This window comes from Homo sapiens, chromosome 14, assembly GCF_000001405.40.
Source record: "Homo sapiens chromosome 14, GRCh38.p14 Primary Assembly".
Classification (NCBI taxonomy): Eukaryota; Metazoa; Chordata; class Mammalia; order Primates; family Hominidae; genus Homo; species Homo sapiens.
Window position 1 is genome coordinate 94,959,810 of NC_000014.9, and position 21,661 is coordinate 94,981,470.

General features: G+C 45.5%; 3 long non-coding RNA genes across 3 annotated transcripts, besides 1 other annotated feature; all 3 read right to left on the bottom strand.

Annotated features, from left to right (window-relative positions):
* Nucleotides 1-467: 467 nt before the first annotated feature.
* LOC124903370 (uncharacterized) lies at nt 468-2,357 on the bottom strand. The gene is made up of 2 exons (XR_007064318.1): nt 2,101-2,357; nt 468-679 (listed from the first exon to the last, which is right to left on the bottom strand). It is a non-coding gene; the product is annotated as an uncharacterized LOC124903370 (long non-coding RNA).
* A 348-nt stretch (nt 2,358-2,705) lies between these two features.
* Nucleotides 2,706-3,966, bottom strand: LINC02279 (long intergenic non-protein coding RNA 2279). Its single transcript, XR_001750936.2, has 3 exons — nt 3,785-3,966; nt 3,070-3,166; nt 2,706-2,971 (listed from the first exon to the last, which is right to left on the bottom strand). It is a non-coding gene; the product is annotated as a long intergenic non-protein coding RNA 2279 (long non-coding RNA).
* Nucleotides 3,967-7,716: 3,750 nt separating this feature from the next.
* On the bottom strand, nt 7,717-10,598 carry LOC107984646 (uncharacterized). Its single transcript, XR_001750937.2, has 3 exons — nt 10,188-10,598; nt 8,604-8,690; nt 7,717-7,865 (listed from the first exon to the last, which is right to left on the bottom strand). It is a non-coding gene; the product is annotated as an uncharacterized LOC107984646 (long non-coding RNA).
* Nucleotides 20,192-20,772: an enhancer, noted in NCBI's record as "NANOG hESC enhancer chr14:95446338-95446918 (GRCh37/hg19 assembly coordinates)". NCBI's record gives its function as "activates a minimal SCP1, AML or CMV promoter by ChIP-STARR-seq in primed H9 embryonic stem cells {active_cell/tissue: H9 hESC(primed)}" and the evidence as "EXISTENCE:reporter gene assay evidence [ECO:0000049][PMID:30033119]".

Here is a 21,661-nt window from a genome sequence, read left to right on the forward strand (position 1 = left end):
CCGACGACATGACCTCTGTCACACCTCCCAGCAGCACAGCTGTGGCTGACCCATGTGTCAGCCTTCCCCATCGCTGCAAACTTCTTGAGAGTTGGGTCTGTGTCTCCTCCCTTCTGCTCCCCAGTGCCCAGCAGAGGCCCTGGCACACAGAAGGGGCTCAACACACCCCAGCTGAACAGTTGAGGCAATAAAGCAGAAAGTAGAGATCAGGATATACGCACCGAAAAATCTAGTAACAAAATCCAAAGTTAAAAAAACAAAACTTGTACAAAGAATGCAGTAAAGGGGAATGGAAGAAACTGCGGTACAGAATAAAAAGTTTTGCCCTTGAGTCCGAATCCTGGTTCATATCCTGAGTGTCTGGGCCTCTCCGACCCTCAGTCTCTTCCTTGGTAAGGTTACTGTGATCCCTCCAACCTTAGGGGAACTGTGAGAATTAAAAGGAATTGACAGAAGTGTCCAACACATCGTAGATGCCCAATAAATTGCAGGCGTAATAATTTTATTTATTAGCCAAGTTGCCTGGAACAGTCCTCTTCACTCCTCTGGATTTCTATAAAATGGAAATGATAAAGTGGCCTCTGAGGATTACAGTAGGGTTAAATGAGGAAATGTGGACCAATTCCTCAACATGGTTCTGGACCTTGGCAAGGGTTCCGTCAATGTTTGTGGAATTTGCCTGAAAAGATATGTAACATACGGCGACTGTTAATCTCTTCATTAAAAAGAAAACCTCACAAGATATGCCAAAACTACCAACGAGAAGTCCAATCAAACTGGGTCTCTGGTGCCAAAAACAACAGCTGAAAGCTTCAATTCAGCAGCGTGCGGTCAGACTCTGGTGGGTGGACACAGCCGCAGACCCTAAGCTGTGAAGTGCCCAGCCCTGGGAATCTGACCTGTTGCCTCCTTCTCTTGAGTCCCTGGGCAACTACCAATCTCCCTTCCCACTTTTCCTTCCAGAAACTACTTTCCACCGGCCTGTTAGACAAGTGGGAGCTTCTCTCTGGTTTGTATAGTGCAGAGCTGAGAGCACAGCCTTAGGGATCTCAGACAAGCTTGGGTGTTATTCCAAGCTCTGCCACTCCCTAGCTGTGTGGTCTTGGGCAAGTTACTTAACCTCTCTGTGCCTGTTTTCTCATCTGTAAAATGATAAAAATGCTCCCTACCAGAGGCTTGATGTGATGATTAAATGAGCTAATGTGTAGGAAGCTGTTAGCCAGTGCCTGGCACAGAGAAGCAAACAATGCATGGGAACGATTATTACTATTAAGTTGGTGCAAAAGTAATTGCGGTTTTTACATTAAAAGTAATGGCAGAGGCCGGGCATGGTGGCTCACGCCTGTAATGCCAGCACTTTGGGAGGCTGGGGTGGGCAGATAACGAGGTCAAGGGATCATCCTGGCCAACATGGTGAAACCCTATCTCTACTGAAAACACAAAAATTAGCTAGGCATGGTGGCACATGCCTGGAGTCCCAGCTACTCAGGAGGCTGAGGCAGGAGAATCTCTTGAACCCAGGAACAGAGGTTGCAGTGAGCCAAGATGGCGCCACTGCACTTCAGCCTGGTGACAGAGCGAGACTCCACCTCAAAAAAAGAAAGTAATGACAGAAATCCCAATTACTTTTGCACGAACCTAATATTTACACGAGGAAGCTTGCAGACAGGACTGGTGATATGCAAAGCCGTGCATTAGGTAGGTGCTCACTAAATGCTTTTTGAGTGAACACAGGCAATGAATGAATAAATGTGCATATGAATGAATGACTCATGCTAAGGTCCCTGGCTCACACTCTCCCATTCCCCCTTAGGGCCTCTCCATCCCTTCTCCTGCCCTCAGTTTCCCTCTGGGCTGCCTGTCCCCTACCCAGCAGTCTTGATCGCTGCACTCCTCAACTCTTTCTGAGCTGTCCTGTCCTCTCTACCTTCCATCAGCTGTGGCCTGGGTAGCTGGTGATGGTTGGTAGAACTATTTTGGGGCTGGAAACCCGGCAGAGTCCACCCTCCCTTTGTCACCCCAAGCCTCAGCTGGCTGTGCAAGCCACAAGCCGAGGGCTGTAGCAGGATCCCTCCCCCAGCCCATCCCCATGCCCCTGACCTGGTGCATATTTCAGAGTTGAAATGAAAGGCAAGAGGTGGGCTTGGCGAGGACCGGATAACCCCGGAGGAACTGCGAGGAATTATAAACAGTGTCACGTCAACTCCAGATTGAGCCTCAGATCCCGACTTGAGCGCGAGGAAATGGGGCTGTGACAAGGAGACGCTTCCTGCCAGACGGATGTCCAGAGGTGTCCCGAGAAGGGCATGATGACACGCAGAGGCTGAGCTGGGTGGGGAGGGCTGCTTATGTACTGCAGGTTTTGCTACGTGCCATTGAGGGGGAGCCTTTGAGGAGGGAGTGGAGCTGGAGATAGGGTCCTCATTACCTTCGCCAGTAGTCACGGAGCAGGGACATCCTCCAGGAACTCCCAGGGTCCACAGGGGACCTAGCATCCTCCCAGGGAGACTCCTGCCAGGTTTAAACATTCCTGAAGCTGGAGAACAGCCCCCTTACCTCCCCCATCCCCACATCTTATCAGGCTCCTGGAAATTCTGAGCTCTGGTGGCGTCAGAAAGTTTGGGGAGAGATTCCAGGGCACATATTTGAACCTTTCACTGCCTCCCTGCAGTGATGGCTCTAAGACGCATGAGACTTACCTCTCTAGGGAGACGTGCCTGCAGGAAGATGAAAATGGGAGATTTCTTGATGACTTCCCCGCTGGGGAGAGAGAGCTCACTACCAGCTCTGCTGACTGCAGACAGCTCCACAGGCCCCCAGTGGGTCTGCCCAGAGCGAGCAGCCCGCCTTGGCCTTGTCTCAGCAGACACTGCCTAGCAGCCTCAGGGTGTGGCCCGAGGCAGACAGCCTGATTGTCATCACTCATCAGCAGGCGACAAGTCGCTTAACCTCCAAACCTCAGCTTCCTTGTCTATAAAATGAGAATCATTTTATGGAATAAATTTTCCAACACATGAGACCCATTCCCCGCCACCACCAGCAAAAAATGTACCCAAAACATTCCATCACCAGTACTATAGCACTGAGGCTGAGCCTCGAAGCCATCAAATCATGAATTGGCAACTGCAGGTCACACCATTTCCCCATCTCTTCAATATTCCGTTTTCTGCATGAACAAAATTGTATGTTTTCCAATCATTTTCAATGCAAATGTTTTTTCAAACACATTTCAATGTTGTTCAAAAAAGGTAAATTAGAATGTATTTTATCCACCACTTTGTATCCACAAGGAGGATGACAGGTTGTGACGATTTGAGGAGATGACATTGGGGCCAGCACGTTATATATTTATTTGTCTTCTAGGTTGGTTACACACATCCTCGGTGCCAGGCCCTAGAGCCCAGGGATGCTGCAGACACAGTCTCCACATCTCAATGCCATGGTCTTAGAGGAAGATGGGGGCGCTAAGAGATGGCAGATACATCCTATGCTGAAAGTGTTTGGGTAGCGATAGGGATCCAAGGCTGTGCGAGTTCACATGTACATCCACCCGGGGTCCCTGACTCAGGAAAGCCTTCCAGGGTAAATGACATTTGAGCTGATCGTTAAGGATAAGTTGACTTAAGGGTAGGGAGACATTTTAAACAGAGCAAACAGCAAGTGCAAAAATAGAGGGGCATCAGAGTCTGACATTTCACACTGTAAGACATTTCCCCATTACAGCTACTACTTCTGATAGTAATCACACAAATGGTAATAATTCCAGTGAACATTGACTGCTTACCTACGGTGCATCTGGTATTGTGCCAAGCATCATGCAGACATGCCCCATGTGATCCTCACCATAACCCAGTGAGATACAGTCTCCAGTTGTCCCCATTTTCCAGATGAGGAGACGGAGGGAGGATTTGCAGCTACACCTAGGTTGTGGAGCTGGTGATCCCAAGCAATCCGACTTCGAGCCTGTGATGTTGTCTGTTGCTGCTGTGCTGCTTTGGGAAGAGAGAGGGATTCTGTGAATTTGCTCTCACTTAACCAACCCAATAACCCTTGGAGGTAGAAGTATCTGCCTCTCATGTTGCAGGTGAGGGGTCAATGGCTCAGAGAGGAAGAGTGTGTGGCCCAAGCTCACACAGTGGCGGGAGGCGGAACAGGAGGCAGAGCCAGAGCAGCCTCCAAGTGTGGACTTTTCTAGACCATCTGAGACGAACACGGTCAACAGCTTCCTTGGTTGGCTTATTCTTTATTTGTATCAGAAAAGAAATTAATTTGAGTAGAAGTCTCAGCTGCCACTTCTTGACCCTACAGAATGAGGCTGGGTTCCTGTCGCTCTCATCTTGGGCTTGCTTCTCAACCTGCGACTTCACAGAACCCCAATGTCCACTCCTAACCCTAGGTACCTTATGTTCCCTCCTGCTTCTGTACCCACAATTCATTGACCCTTCTTCAAGGCCCCGCTCATAAGCCACCTCCTCCAGGAAGCCCCTTGCCCCTGCCCCCACCCCAGCCAGGTGAACATGAACTTGTCTTGCATTACCACCCCCTTGCATCTCCTGCTTGGTCCTTGGCTGAGGCAAGGGGATTCTTCAATGAGGCAGCCTGGATTCAAATTCTGCCCTGGCTCACCAGCCATTACCGTGGCCACTCACTTGACCCCTCAAGCTCCAGTTTCCCCATCTAATAAAGGGGGAGAGATACTAGTAAGATCAACCTCACAGGACACTGTAAAGGCAAAACGAGGTAAGTACCTAGCACAGTGCTTGGCTCAATAGATGTTAGCTGCTGTTGCTCACAGCACCAGGGAGTGGGTGAACACTGTGTTCTAGGACTGAGTCTTAGGAATGAATCTCAAGCTCCCAAAGCCAGGAGTCCATAGTCCTGGGAGTCCAAGTCCATAGGAATCTCAAGCTCCCAAAGCTGGAAACACTTCTTGGCTTCCCTGAATCCCTTGAGACACAAGGGATCATGAAGGAGACACAGAGTCGGGAGTCAGGGAGGGTGCAAATCTCAGCTCTTCTACAGCCTTGCTGTGTACATTTGGGCATGTTACTTAACTTCACTGAGCCTCCATTTTTTCAACTGGAAAATTAGAATATCTATCCCTACCTCATGGGTTGTTATGAAGAAAAAAAAAAGACTCGTTCATGCATTCATTCATCAATGGAGACATTGAGCTCCTGGTTTGTACCACACACTGCACTCAGGGCTGGGGATATGATGGTGAATGACACACAGGCCTGGTCTTGAGAGGCTCATGGCCAGCCCATCGCACTAGACGACTCCTGCACCAACAGAAGTGCTTGCAAGGCCTCCGAGTGCACTTTCCACACAATATGCAGAAGAGTCAGGAGCTGAAGCCAGAATCCACTGCGCTTGTGCGAGGCACAGCTTTCCATCTGCAGCCAGCAGGGAAGGGCCGCTGTGGATATTCCATTCCTTTTTTGGTTTTTATTTTTTTATTTTTATTTTTATTTTATTTTTGAGACAGAGCCTCCTTCTGTTCTGTCACCCAGGCTGGAGTGCAGTGGCATGATCTCGGCTCACTGCAACCTCCACCTCCCAGGTTCAAGCAATTCTCCTCCCTCAGCCTACCGAGTAGCTGCGACTACCGGCCTAAAAGAGCTGGTTTGTCTCCCGGGGCGAGATACAACCCTTGGTGTTTGGGGTGTCAAAAAAGGAAGGGCAAAAAGATATATTTTCCAACCATGAGGGTTTGGGCAGAACCCAAAATGCACTTTGCCAAGCAAACAATTCCCCTCCATCTTGGAACCCGTGGGTGCTCCAGAGAGATTTTATCTGTATGTTTCTGTTTCATCAACACCTAATTTATCAAAATACTGCATGGAAGCACCAGGGCCCTGGGCAGCTTCTGCCCTCCATGAGACATTGGAGTCCCCAAGTGTCCCTGGGGCTTATGTACGGCATGTGAGGTGTTTCTCTCCCCTGCTTGGTGCTGTGTTGTGTCACTAGGCCCCACAGAGCACTGCTTGTACCCACTGTCCCCAAAGACTCTCTCAAACTTGGTTCCTGCATCTTCCAGCCCTGATTCCATTTTCTTTGTAAATCAAAAAGAGCTTCAGAATAAGAAAAAGGAAATCCTCACCCTATTCCTCCTAGGACCACGCCTCTACATGCACACGTGCACACACATACAGACACCCCATGCATGGCGTTGACTGTCTCTTCCCAACGAAGTGTCACTCCATTAAGGCAGAGAATTCTATCCATGTCGTTCACTGCGGTATCCCCAGTGCCTGCAACAGAAGCTGGCACACAGTAGGTGCTTCATAAATATTATTGCAGGAACATATGAATGAATGAAAAAATAAATGGTAAGCTTTCTGGAGCATCTCTGAGGGTGAGGAAGAAAGTTACTCACCTCTGTTGAGCACCTACTATGTGTCAGGCACAATGCTTGATACTTTACTCAAGGTCTTCTTTCTTACAACCATGTTGTGATGTGGAGTCACTATACTCATTTTCTGGAGGAGGAAACAGGCTCAGGATAAGTAACTTGCCTGGTGAATGACACACAGCTGGTAACGGTGAGAGCGAGGGTTTGCACATAGGTCTGTTGGACTTGAACAGCATGCTGCTTCTCCTGGGCCGTGTGCCTCTATTTTTGAGATCAGTGAATAATACAGAAGTGCCAAATCCATGACAAGTCACATCACTGGCTCCCCATCAACCTAGACCCCCTGAGAGAAACCGCACTGGAATAAACACGGGACAGACCACACACTGTGGTTAAAATATCAAGGCTGCATCTCAGTAGCTTGATGGGCTAAAGATTCATTTCTCACTTGTGTTTCTCAGCCTGGTGTGGGTTGGGTGGCCCTCCTGGGTGGCTTTTCTCAAAGAGGGGACTCAGGTACCTGGCTGCTCCCACACTGTTGCTACATCTTATAGAGCACACAGTTTCCAAGGTTGCAGTGGAAAGGTGTGAGAGGACTGGAGGGCAGTGCCAGATGTTTCTAAGGACAGCTGAGAAGCAGCAAGCAACTTTCACCCTAACTCCCTTGGCCAAAGCAGTCGCTGACCCAACCTAACAGCAAGGGGAATACAGTGTTCCTGAGAGTTCAGGGAGACCCAGCTGGCTGAGCCCAGGGCCCTGCAGCTCCACACACCTGCCCTAGGGGGTCCTATCTCTCCGTGTGCCTTCAAACTTCCCTCACCTGGCCTTGCTCAGTCCTCAGAGCCCCAGGAACAAGACAAGCCCAGAGACCCTGGCCACATATATAGACTTCTGCCCCTGGATCCCAAAGCTGAAGCCAGGGACACCATGAACACTTCCTAGAAGCTGAATGAGCCTTTTCTGGGACCTCTCAGGAGCCTTCTCCCAGCCCACAGGAGCTGCAGGGAGCCCCTCATCCCATGCAGTCCTGAGCCCTGGCCCCATTCCTGCTGCTGCCAACTTTGTGGCTCCAACCAGGGACCCTATCGTAGTGTCCCAGAGCTCCAAGATCAGCTCATCCCACATGGAGGCCTCCCCCTGGCCCTCTGGGACGCTGGCTAAGTGTGGCTCCTAGAGGTCCCCCTAGTCTGCACAATTTCTGTTGTGGGTCTAGAAGCAGGATGTTCAGTCTAAGCTTTCAGAGATTTATCCATCCATTCATTCATCCATCCATCCATCCATCCATCCATCCATCCATCCATCCATCCACCCATGCATGCGTTTTTCAATCCATCTATCCACCACTCACCAAAACCCTGGATCTCTGCCTGGCTCCTGGGTCACCAAGGCCAGATTTATCATTAGAGGTTGGCTCACACAATTATGGAAACTGAGAAGTCCCATGATCTGACATCTGCAAGCTGGAGACGCAGGAACGCTGATGGTGTGGTTCCAGTCCAAGCCCAAAAACCTGAGAACCAGGAGAGCCAATGGTGTAAGCCCCAGTCTGAGTCCAAACACCTGAAAACCAGGAACTCAATGAGAAAGGAAATTTCTCCTTCCTCTACCTTTCTGTTCTACTCAGGCCCTCAGTGGATTGGATGAGGACTATGAAATTAACCATCACAGTGGGTTCTTCAGAACACTAGCACCTTGAGATGCTCTGCCTCAAAGTGGCCCCCAACCAAGTAACTTTGGGAACTATGACTGTAGGCAGCCACCTCCCTCTACCCCATTCCACCTTGCATTACAACGCACCTTAGCCTATAAAGGCTCTGAAGCAAAAAGCCTGTTTGATTTAATTTTATTTAGCTTGACACCTTCCAAACTTGGACCACACACTTAGTACTCATTACCTAGTAACACTTTTATGGACAACAGTTTGGGAAATCTCTCCTAGACAATTCTAGACTCAGTTTTAGAGATGAATCACACCTCACCCCTGTTCTGGATTGCTCTCCTCTCTGGTGGGGTAGATGGCAGACAAATATAAGCATGATCAGTGCTTGGCCAACCAATGTCTTTCAATAAAAAATTACCCTCCCATCTGCTTAATTTTTAGATAAAATTTATATTTATCTTACATATTATACATGCATTTGTCTATGTGTTTTTTCTCTGGTCCCCTCTGTGTTAATCTGTCTTGTGCTGCTGAGACAGAACACCTGAGACTAGGTAATATATAAAGAACAGAAATTTATTCTCTCACGGTTCTTCTGGAGGCTGGGAAGTCCAAGATCAAGACACAGACAGGTTAGGTCTCTGGTCTCAAGATGGTACCTGGTTCCTGAGTCCTCTGGAGAGAAGGAACATTGTGTCATCACATGGTAGAGGAGCAGAGGAGAGTGAGCACACTCCTACAACCCCTTTTTTTAGTGTCATCAGTCCATTCATGAAGACAGAGCCCTCTGGACCTAAACACCTTCCATTAGGCCCTGTCTCCCGCACTGCTGCACTGGGGATTCAGTTTCAGCATGGGTCTTGGAAGAGACAAAAACATTCAAACCACAGCACCCCTTCCCTCTCACTAGAACAAAATCTCCACAGGGAAAGAGTTGAATCTGTATTGTTTACTGCTTTATGTCCACACTCCTTCCTATGTCTAGGATAGTGGAATAGTGTTTGGCGTATACCTGGTGCTTACTAATTTTTGTAAGATGACTTTGTTCATAGAATAGAATTAGCCCATTGTCACGTGGCAAGTACATGGTGAGGCCGAGATTTATTTTTATTTTTATTTATTTATTTACTTATTTTGAGACGGAGTCTTACTCTGTCACCCAGGCTGGAGTGTAGTGCATGATCTCAGCTCACTGCAACCTCCACCTCCCAGGTTCAAGCGATTCTCCTATATCAGCATCCCAAGTAGCTGGGACTGTAGGCACACACCACCGTGTCCAGCTAATTTTTGTATTTTTAGTAAAGACAGGGTTTCACCATGTTGGCCAGGCTGGTCTCAAACTCCTGACCTCAGGTGATCCACCCGCCTCGGCCTCCCAAAGTGCTGAGATTACAGACATGAGCCAGCTCGCCCAGCCAGGGGTCAAGATTTGAAACCATGCTGTCTGACTTTGGAGTCCATACACTGACCACTCTGCTAACTGCCTCTCACCAGCACCAGGCTACAATGAGTAAGTGCATAAATGACCTAAAGCCTCTTTTTTTCTTAAAAAAAAAAAAGTCCCAGCTGCCCAAACCTGCTCCACCCCAGTCTCTACTCGAGACCTATGTCAGTTTCTTTCCATACCTGCCTCAGACCCTGCCCTTAGGCCTAGCACCAGGCTAAGGATCAGGTCACCCAAGACCTGCCCAGTGCTGCTATTGAGTCCCGGCAATAGAACCTGGGGGTGACCCTTGGAGCAGCCTGTGCTAGATTCTCCAGGAGGAAGAGAATTCAGCTGAAACCCCCAGAAATCCAGCTTGACAGCTTCCAGCTCGACAGCTTCCAGCTCTGTCCTTGAAATAAGATGCCAAATCAAGTTGTCAAGTAGAATGACTTGAAATTAACAAGTCTCCTCCTCCCTCCAGTCTAATAAAATAAGAGGGTGGAGTGGAAAGGGGCTTAGTTCAGAGCTGGAAGCGCTGGCTCTGCCCAACTTTTGTGCTGTCTCTGGGCCATGGCTTCCTTGGCCTGCCCTGCAAACATTTTCCACTGGAAACTTCCACAGAAATAACTGTTAGTAGGTGGGTATAATACTCGCTAGCACAGAGGCATGGGCAAGATGCCAAAGATCCCAGAGCCAGGGGTCCCCTGCCAGAGAGGGTCAGGGGGGCTTCTCAGAGGCTCAAGTACCTTTGATTGGAGTGTCCAAGGATGATTTGGAAGTTTTGAGTTGCAGATGAGGCTAGAAAGGAAGGTTAAGGCAGATTGTACAGGCCTTGAAAGCCAGGACTTTCTCCTGCAGGCAACAGGAAGCCACGAAGGTTTCAAACGAGTTCCTCTTGGGCTAGCTTTCCATCCAGTATTAGGATTAGATTCATCTGTGACTTGCAGAAAACTCAAAAGAACAGTGGCTTAAACACACAGAATTTGTTGTTTTCCAGAAATGTGTTCTGTCCAGATACAGGCAGTCGGGACTGGTATAGCAGGTCTGCAGACCTCAGAGACCCAGGCATCTTCCTTCTGCTCCCCCTACCTCTATATACGGCTTCACCATCTCATGGCCCAAGATGGATGTTGGGGTTCCAGCTTTCACATTTGCCTTCCTGGCATCTGGACAAAGGAATGGGAAATAGACTGTATTAGTCCATTTTCATACTGCTATAAAGAACTTCCCCAGACTGGGTAATTTATAAAGGAAAGAGGTTTAATTGACTCACAGTTCCATGTGTCTGGAGAGGCCTCAGGAAACTTACAATCATGGCAGAAGGCAAAGGAGAGGCAGGCACCTTCTTCATAGGGTGGCAGGATGGAGTGAGTGCGAAGCAAAGGGGAAAGAGACCCTTATAAAACCATCAGATCTCGTGAGAGCTTACTTGCTATCACAAGAGCAGCATGGAGTAAACTGTCCCCATGATTCAGTTACCTCCACCTGGTTTCTCCCTTGACTTTCGGGGATTGTGGAGATTATAATTCAAGATGAGATTTGGGTCGGGACACAAAGCCTAACCATGTAACAGACACAAAGGGCACACCTCCTGCAAAGCTGGCTCCTTTGAAAGAGTTTTCTCAGAAGCCCACACACAACTTTCACTTATTGGCCAGAACTTAGTCTCATTGCTACTCTACCTGGAAAGAAGAATAGGTCATGTAATCTTTGTTCTTAGTAGTAATTTGCCTTGTTACATAGCAGAGCTCTGTAACAGAAGAGTATACTAAGAATGGATATCCAGCAGGCATCTGGCTACATAGGCTTTGGACTTCAAGAAACAGAATACCTGACACCTATCCTTTAATTCTTCCTTAACAAGAAGTCCCAGGGTTGGATTGCTGATTCAGCAATAACATCAGATTTTTTTTTTTTTCTAATCTTTGCTCTGCCATCCTCAGGGTTTGGGTATTGAGTTATTATTAAATGATTATGTTTACAAAACACTTATGCTACATAAAAATAAAATAAAATCTATTAAGTATATCAACTCACATCACAACATGACTGCCATAGCTCCAGACATCACATCCTGTCCCTACATCCCATGAAGTAAGACAGGAGAGAAGCCATTATCTTCTTTTTTTTTTTTTTGCCAACAAAATGGCTGCCTCCCCCAGGCCTCAGTGGCTGTGCTGGCTGTGAAGCTTCAGAATCGACCCTCTAGCATGTGGGCAGCCCCAGCACTGACTGGTAATTGCATCAGATGTTTTCCTTTTCTGCCATCAAGAATGCTCATTTCACCAATCCCCAAGGGCACAGGAGGCTCCAAGCAGAGAGTGAGTCAGGAATTCTATGTTTTCACCTTGGCCTTAGCTTCTCAATTTATCTTGTAGTTTCATTAAATCCTGCACCACATACCACAGACTTATTTCTAATCTAACGGCCTGTCACAGGGATCCAGGACATTACAAACACAGAATGTTCTTTGCCTGATTTTCTTTCTTAAAATCAAATAACTCTATTCACCACTCTATCCCTGTGTCTCGCACGGTTCACTTAGATTAATAACATTTGAGATTCTGCCTATTAGGTATCGAAAGCAGCGAGCAAGAGCCTTCTGGCCAATTCCAATTCCAGATACTGCACAATGGAAACTATTTCTCCCCGACGCTGTTGCCAGTAACAAGCTTTTCTCTAACGGCTTAATTAGGATTCAAGATTGTGTCCAGGAACCCAGAGCCTCAGAAGGAGCCAAGCCGGCGTGTTTACAGACTTCTGTGTTCAGTTCATTCCTGGTTTTGTATTTTGCAAGAGGAGGGAAAAGGAAACGGCTATGTAAGGGAGACACAGACAGAGACACAGAGAGGAAGAGAGAGAGAGGTGGATTTTTAATGACAGGAGGAAGCCCCAGATATGGTGAATATGGAGTTAAGTTGGTGGCCAGTCAAGAAGGTGGGGACAGTGAGAATGCAGAGGGAAGAAGGTACCAAAACCCAGAAGTGGTCCAGACAGAACACAGAGATCAGAGCTTCCTTTTCATCATCTGCATGGCAGTGACAAGAGGTCATGAACCTATCCTCCCATTACCAATGGGGACTGAACATGGGGAAGAAGCCTTGTGTTTAAAAGCAGCGAGACTCGGGTAAAATTTTTTCTTTGTTCCTTCCCAGCTGTGTGATCTTGGATGAGTCACTTCACCTCTCTGAATGCTAGCTTCTTCATCTGGGGAATAATAACATTGTTTTATGGAATCATTGTGAGATTTAGCAAATAAGTATACAATAAGTATTTAGCAAATAAGTAAATAAATTTAGCAAATAAGTAAATAAATAAATTTAGCAAATAAGTATGATTTTTTTGCAAAAAAATCATTTGACATTGCCATGGCATGTGGGGGGCCCTTGGGAAATATGAGTAGGGATGAGTTGAACCTTAATTCCCTGGACCTTTGTGTTACCCTAGATACAATGGTCCAACCTTAGAGCTAGAAAGTGGACAAGCCTTGAAGGAGCTGTGGGTACAATTTACGCTTTCATGGCCTGTTTCCTCATTTATAAAATGGGTTAATAATAGTGTGGTTTAAAACACAGAATGCACGAAAAGCTCTTAGCTCAGTGCCTGGCATGTACTAGGTGCTCAAACCCGAGGATGGGGAGAAAATTGTCTGCTCAAAGCCCATTATTGTACTTACAGGGAGTCTGAGTCCCAAGGGGGAGATGATGTCACTGATCCACAACAAATGAATGGAAAAACTGAATTCTAACCCCTATTCTTCCATTAATTTGACTTTTAAGATGCATCAAAGGGGATCAATAGAAGCCAGAATAAGCATGAACCCTTGACAACATGCTGGTGAGGAACACTTTGGGAATAATAAACAACAAAATGAACAACTTCAACATAGAAAAAGCAGACACCAGAAGAGACATCCTCCTGGGAATCTCAATTTATATCAGCTTGTTTCGTTATCACAATTGAAATGACCATTTAAGTCAGTTTTCTGATTGCTCTTTGAAAATGTCATTTTACATTCAAACCAGTCCCTGGAATCTAGCACTAAGTATCCCATGTCTAGGGATACTTCTAGCCACAGCTGCAAACATTTACACATGAGGACGTTCACTGCAGACTTCAAAATCACAAGACATGGGAGGCACCCTATAGGTTGGAGAGTTGTTTAAGCAAAGTGTGGTAACCCAGATGGCAAAATGCAAGGCAGTTATTAAAACTGACATTTATCCTGGCTAACACAGTGAAACCCCGTCTCTACTAAAAATACAAAAAAATTAGCTGGATGTGGTGGCGGGCGCCTGTAGTCCCAGCTACTCAGGAGGCTGAGGCTGGAGGATGGCGTGAACCAGGGAGGCGGAGCTTGCAGTGAGCCAAGATTGCACCACTGCACTCCAGCCTGGGCGATGGAGTGAGACTCCGTCTCAAAAAAAAAACAAAAAAAAACCCTGACATTTGTAAAGTATTTTTTTAATGAATCAGGAGAAACATTTATGATGTGAAGAAAAAAAGGCTAGGCATGGTGGCTCATGCCTGTAATCCAGCACTTTGGGAGGCCGAGATGGGAGGATCACTTGAGCCCAGGAGTTTGAGACCAGCCTGGGCAATATAGTGAGACCTTGTGTCTACAAAAATAAAAACCAAAAAATTAGCCAGGTGTAGTGATGCGTGCCTGTGATCCCAGCTACATGAGAGGCTGAAGTGGGAGGATTGCTTGAGCCTCGGAGGTCGGGGCTGCAGTGAGCCAAGGTAGGAAGATCATTTGAGCTCAGGAGTTAAGAGACCAGCCTGGGCAACATAGGGAGACCCCCATCTCTACAGAAAAAAAAAATTTTAATTAGCCAGGCATGGTGGTGCACAGCTGTAGTCCCAGCTACTTGGAAGGTTGAGGCAGGAGGATCACTTGAGCTCAGGAAGTCGAGGGTACAGTGAGCTATGATGGCACCACTGCACTCCAGCTTGGGTGACAGAGCAAGACCCTGCCTCAAAAAAAGAAAAAGAAAAAAGTTACAAAGGGACACAAAACTGTGCATTATAATGATTTCAACTGTGTAAAATATGTGTGTATGTGTGTGTCTGTGTGTGTACTCAGAAAAAAGACTGGAGGGAAGATATACGAAACTGGTAATGCTACCTATACCAGGATGATAAAATTAGAAGCGATCTCTAACTTTCTCTACTTATTTATACTTTTCTGCATTTTACAAATTTTTATAGTGAGTATACATTACTTTTACATCCAGAAAATACCATTTAAATGTTAAATAACATACAAAAGGCAAACATAAAGTGAATTCCCCTAGCCCTTAACAGTTTCTTTCCTCACTCCACCAAGCCATTGGCATAAAGAAGGGTCTAAAGTCCAGTTTACCATCCCACGCAAGATAAGTAAGTGCCTTATACATTTGAGGGCTCAGATCTTTGTTTTGACCCGGTATTAATCTGAGCAAGATTAAGTATTAATTATTAATTATTAATTTGAGCAAGGCTCAGGGATAGTAACAGTTCAAAAAGGAAAGAGAAAGTGCACTTTCAAAGCATGCAAGGGAGTCAAACTTTAGAAGGATCACCTCACCAAGCACAAAACAATTAGAATTTAAAAGGAAAAAACTCACAGAATTCCCAACATTTCTGTTACCTGTTGCTATATAACCACCTCAAAACGTAAAGGCTCAAAACAACATTGATGTATTATTTCTCATAATTCTGCATGTCAGGGATTCAGGCAGGGCTCAGCCAAACAGTTCTGCTTCATGTGGTGTCAGCTGGGCCCACTCAGTCAGCTGGCTTCAGCAGGCTGTGGGTTGGAGTGGCAGGTCCAGATGTCACTGATGTGTCTGTCACTGAGTACTACTCCACGTGGTCATTCTCTCTTGTACCTGCTCACACTCCCTCTCTCTGACTGGCTCACCCTGCCCCACCCGCTGGCTGGCTCTTCCACAGCACAAAAGCATGTTAGTATTGTTCCTCTTTCTCTCTTAAGCCTTTTTTTTTTTTAATAGTAAGGTTTGGTCAGTAGAAAAAAAGGGGCCTTCATTTTTAAGCCTTCTAGGATTATGAGGGTTCTGGGCAGATATTCTCAAAATAAAGAATAGCCAATGCCTTTGGGAGCCCAGCAAGCTTTCCCATCCTTCTTCTTGTGATAACAAGCACCCTGATCATTGTAGAGTGGGTATGTAACCTGCTAGTTCTGGGACCCACCCCAATAACTTTCTTAGCCAGGGCAGCCATAATTTCCCTTTCTGCTTGAGCCAGTGTGAGTCAGGCTTCCAAAACCTGCCAGCCAAGAGTCCTGGTAATTCAGATCTCAAGAGGAAGAGAGATCCAGAAGGTCAAGTACTATGCAGCAAAGTAGAGGAGAGAGGGAAGAAACAACAGCCAGAAACAGATCATTCCTGAGCCACTCATCAGCCCAGGACAGGGTCAGAGCAAAAACCCAGCCTCCACTCTTCTCAGTCATCACTTCCATCAGAGGGACACATAATCATTTCCTGTAGGAGGCAGGAAATGCCGTATTGCCTAGGGAAATAGAAAATAAGCAACAAGGCAAATACAACCAGAGCCATCAGTGTTAATTCCGTGGTCTTCCAACCAGCATTCTGAAAGTGCATCAATATTCATGGTCTTGCTGTCTTTTATCAGACTTCTGACGGGTAATTACGCCTGTGTAATCGTCATAAAGTTACCTAGCCTAAAGACGGACTCAGACTGGTGCCTGCAATACTAAAATCTTACTTGAAACCAATTTTTGCTTTGTTCTTATCCAGTTTAAAATATACTTGCATTTCTTTTTTCTCTTAGGGAGTAAAGTGTAAGGGGTATTGTAGGCATTTAGGCACCCCACCTGTTCCAAACTTTTAGGTAAAAAAATTTATCCAAAAGGAAGTAGATTTGAGAGGCTGAGGCAGGAGGATCACTTGAGACCAGGTGTTTAAGTCCATCCTGGGCAACATAGCAAGACCCTACCTTTACAAAAAATAAAAATATTAGCTGATTATGGTGGTGCATGCCTGTACTCCCAGATACTTGGGAGGCTGAGGTGGGAGGATTGCTTGAGCCCAGGAGCTCTAGGCTGCAGTGAGCTACAATCACACCACTGCACTCCAGACTGGGCGACAGAGCAACGCAATGCCCTGTCTCTATAAAATAATAATAAATAAAGGAAATTTTAAAAATAAAAATAAATTGGAAGTTGTCAGGTGGAGTAATTTTACTATGATCTTGTCAGTAAACACCAGAATACCAAGTGATTAGAGGACTTTCAAAAGATATTTGAAATTGTCCAAATGCTTCCACATTCATATACTTATATACACGCAATGATGGATGAATATCTTAATAGAGCAACACACTGAAAGGGCAAATGTATGTGCAGTTATCCTTTGTTCTTAAAAAGATATATTTCCTAGGAAGACTGTTAAATTGTAGGTGGTCACTTTTTACCTGAAGTTGCAATGACAATAAATATCATTATAAAAGTTTTGGACTTTTTTATATTAAGGGTATAAGGCATCGGCTGGGCACGGTGGCTCACGTCTGTAATCCCAGCACTTTGGGAGGCCAAGGCAGGTGGATCACCTGAGGTCGGGAGTTAGAGACCAGCCTGACCAACATGGTGAAAACCCGTCTCTACTAAAAATACAAAAAGAGAATTAGCCAGATGTGGTGGTACATGACTGTAATCCCAGCTACTTGGGAGGCTGAGGCAGGAGAATCTCTTGAACTCGAGAGGCGGAGGTTGCAGTGAGCCAAGATCGCACCATTGTACTCCAGCTGGGCAACAAGAGCAAAACTCCGTCTAATAAAAAAAAAAAAAAAAAAAAAAAACAAACTATAAGGCAGAGTGGCTAACTTCCTAATCTCAGAGAAAGAAGAATCTATCCTCCCCAACTCCTGATGGTCAACAGTAACAAGTAGAGATCACAGGCAGTCTCCCCTGTTGGCACTCCAGGAATGGCTCTAGTCAACAGGTGGTTGCTATGGCTTGTTTGAGAGGTAATTATGCAACTTTATTTTACCCTCAGGTAAGAGAACGCAGGCATTGTATTACATTCCTGACTTGAGCTACTACTGAATCTTTGATGCAACAGCCAATACAGTTCACAAAGTAGCATTAAAAACTTAAACCATTAAATTAAACCCAGTAAAGAAAAGAAGCAACATAAATGACCACCAACAGAGGGATGACAACATAGACTGAGATAAACTCATACAGTAGACTGCAAAGCAATAATTTAAAACATTGAGAATAATTAAAATATTGCAAATCATCAAAAATAATGATTATTATGGGAAGATGTCCAAGGCATATTATTGAATGAAAAGCTGAGTACAGAATGGTAATAAGAAACAAAGAAACAAACAAAAAAAACCATACAAGCACACACACATAGATGATGTTATACTATGTACATATTATATATGTATGTCTATGTGTGTGTGTGTGTGTGTGTGTGTGTGTGTGTGTATAGTGTTATATAAATGCATGGATACAAACCAAGCTGATATGGTTTCTTCGGGGAAGTCAAACAAGAAGCAGGATTGGGTTGAAGTCAAAACGAACTTTAGCCTTGTCTATAATGCACTCATATTTATAGATATATCATGTTGTATATAACGTATTAATATGTTATTTGTATAATAACATTTTAAAAAATAACCACTATAAGCATAAATGGGGACTCATAGCAATTTAATTTTGCAATCATTTACTTCAACATCCTTAATTTAGAGTCGAAGAAGCCAAGGCTCAGAGAAGAGAAGTGACTCGTCCAAGCCCACCTTGGGTTTGGAGTTTGAATTAAATCCCCCAGAGTTCCAACCCAGCCTCCTCCTACCATGTCACTCTGTGTCACTCAATAGGGCTACCAATCTATGTTCTCAGAGGATGCACACAGAGGTGGAGAGCCTGGGCCTGCAATGACCTGGTCCCATCTCCCTGGTCATTGTCAACCTGTCTGGTCAGCCTCAGGATGCAAGGAGAACACGGAACCAGGAGGAGGAAACCGACTTGGGGTGGTTCTCTGCCTTCACCTCCTATGTGGCCTTGGGCGAGTGGGTGACTGGCTTAGTGGACTCCCTGCTTCCCTCCAACCCTCAGTGCTACCCTCTGTGAACTTTGCCTGTGGCCCCGTCCATACACAACATACCCTTCGTATGACCCTAGATCTTTTCCTCCTGTTCGTAATTAAGAGAAGAAACCACCAAATGAGCATATGCGTAAATATATGCAGTAATGAAGTCTTTTTTTTCTTTATGTGAACTATTTTGGCCTAATTCTTTTTTTTTTTTTTTTTTTCAAAAAGAACGGCTAATATTTCATGAGGAGAGATAAGATCTTGCTTTAATACGGTTAGCTTCAATTGACCTTGAACTGAATCTACAAATTTCTTAGAGGTGACCTCTTCATCGATGCTTGATACACATTCACAAATAAATGAACTGAGAAGATTCCTATTTAGATAACTAGTCCAACAGAGGATCCAAAATAAAGGCAGATGTCCAGGGCTCATGAGGAGAGTTGTAGAATCGTGGAATCTTAGAATAACAGAGTTTCAGAATGACAGAATCGTAGAATCTTAGGGTGAGTGGCAGAGTCCAGAGCTGGAAGGGACCCCTAAAATGAAAATAATTAAAGATGACTACACTGTGAGCTCCTTAGGGAAGGGATCATGTGTTGGACATCCCTAGATCCCGGCTGGCACACAGTAGGAGGTATTGTAAATAGTTCATAATAAGTGAACAATTAAGTGTTGAGGAAGTAAGAACACAAGGAATCACTATTCATGCATTCCTTCACTCATTCAGCAAAGCTTTACTGCACACCTCCTTTGTGCCAAGCTCTGTGTAACATATGGGCACAGAGATGCATAAACCCAGATCTTGCCCTCGAGAGGTCTCTGTATAGTGACAGTCACTGGGTGCAGGAGGATTCTGGGAGGATTTTCTCTTATCTAGCCCCCTTTTTCCTACCTAAGCTGCTCCTTCAGGAACCCTGTCATCTCCTTGGACCTTGGACCTTTTACCACCAAGGGAAATCTTGCTTGTCCCTGAGCAGGACAATCGGTTAAGCGTTTATCAGCAAAAATAACAGAAGAAAATAACATTTACAAAGAGGAATATAGCCCCCAACTCAATCATTTTATGCTTTCTTTCCATACATAGTTATAGGTCTTAATTAAAATAAGCATACGTATTTGCCACTCAGTATGTCCCACATTTTTTTTGTTTTGGTGGCAATCTGAACATAGGTCAAAGTTTAAAGGAATATGAATCTATGGATTCTAACAATCATCTCCCACTAAACTTCAACTGTTAATAATTACCATTGACTCTAACTCTGGTTTTCACCTGTGTGCACAGCCCAGCAATGTTTCTGGGAGATTGTAATAGATGTTCTATAGGAATGGAAGACTTTTGCCACCAGATAGGTTTGGAAAATGCTAAAGTAAAGCTCAACACATTTCTTTACTACAGGACTTCTCAGAGCATTTATTATGTCAGAGCTTACGGTGAATCTCTATAGGGGGCATAAGTACAGCTTGTCTCAAAGTAATTTGACTGCAGAATTCTTTTGGATAAATCCTGAACTGGTGACACAGAGCAAGCAGAGTGCAGATGGGACCAACAAGCCAATACATTCACAGTGTTACACGAGAAATCCCAGGGAAGATGATGCTCCTGTGATCTTTTTCATCCATGCATCCTCTTCATCCCCACCTGGGCTTTTGTCCAGCGGAGCTGCCCTGGGCTGCTGTGGACAATCACCTCTGTCATTCATTCACCTCTTCTCATGTCCCTCCCTCTCCCTGGGAAGCTGAGCCTTTGCTGGACTCATTCCCGGCTCCCCAAGCCTAAGCCAGAGGAGAGCTGACAGAAGAGAATAGAACAATATATTTTGGGAGGAAATGTTGGTTTTGCAGCATGGCTGATGCTTGGCATGGCTTTGGGAACTGACAGGAAATGAAGATGAAAATGTAGAGACAAGAAACAGATTGGGAAAGACATGGAATGTCACTTTAAGGAATGTGGGCTTTATCTGAAAACAAAGCCAACCATTGCCAGGTTAGCAGGTCAATTCATCTTTCCACAGGGGAGTCCCATGGCTCAGTCCTTCCCTTCATCTGAGTCTCTGCTCCAAGGATGCCTCCTCAGGATGACATCTCTATCCTGCACTTGCTATACCCTCTTCCTGCTTTATTTTCTTCAGAGCGCTTATTAATACCTGACATCATATTTTCATGTTACTTTTGTCTTTTATCTCTCTCCCCTGCTGGCAGGCAGGCCTCATGAGGCCAAGGCACACTGGCATGTTCACTGATACATCCCCAGCACCCAGCACGGTGCCTGCACACAGTAGGTGCTCAATAAACATTGTGGAATGCATAAAGGATTTTAAACAGAGAAGCAATGTGGCCAGGGGATTCTTAGGGCAATCTCTCTAAAAGCCATTCTTCATGGCACTATTGAAAAGGTGAACATTTCATTTAAAATAAATATATTACTTGCAGAAGCACAATTCCATCTAAATGCTTGCATCTATAACATTTAATAAAGAACTAAAAAAAAATCAGAAGACTGACTGGGTGCGGTGGCTCACGCCTGTAGTCCCAGCACTTTGGGAGGCCGAGGCGGGCGGATCACGAGGTCAGGAGATCAAGACTATCCCGGCTAAAACGGTGAAACCCGGTCTCTACTAAAAATACAAAAAATTAGCCGGGCGTAGTGGCGGGCGCCTGTAGTCCCAGCTACTTGGGAGGCTGAGGCAGGAGAATGGCGTGAACCCGGGAGGTGGAGCTTGCAGTGAGCCGAGATCCCGCCACTGCACTCCAGCCTGGGCGACAGAGCGAGACTCCGTCTCAAAAAAAAAAAAAAAAAAAAAAAAAAAAAAAATTAACAAAAAAAAGAGAAGTGAGACAGTGAAGGAAAAGAAGGGTGGATTATTAAGCATGTTACTACTGGCCAAACAGAGCTCAACCCCACTGGGGAGCTCTGGAAAATGGTGCAGAATATATGCCTGAGCTATCCCACCTTGGAGGTGAGGGAGCTGAGGTATTTATCCATCAACTTACATTAGCCATTGTTAAGGGCTGCTCCTCCCAAGCATTAATTCCTCAGCATTTCGAGCCTGCCTCACTTGCCTGCAGAGCTGATAGGAAGCATAAAGGGAAAGTCCTGGGGCAAGGAGTGCAAATAGTTGGGAGATGGGCAGGCATGAACTGAAATG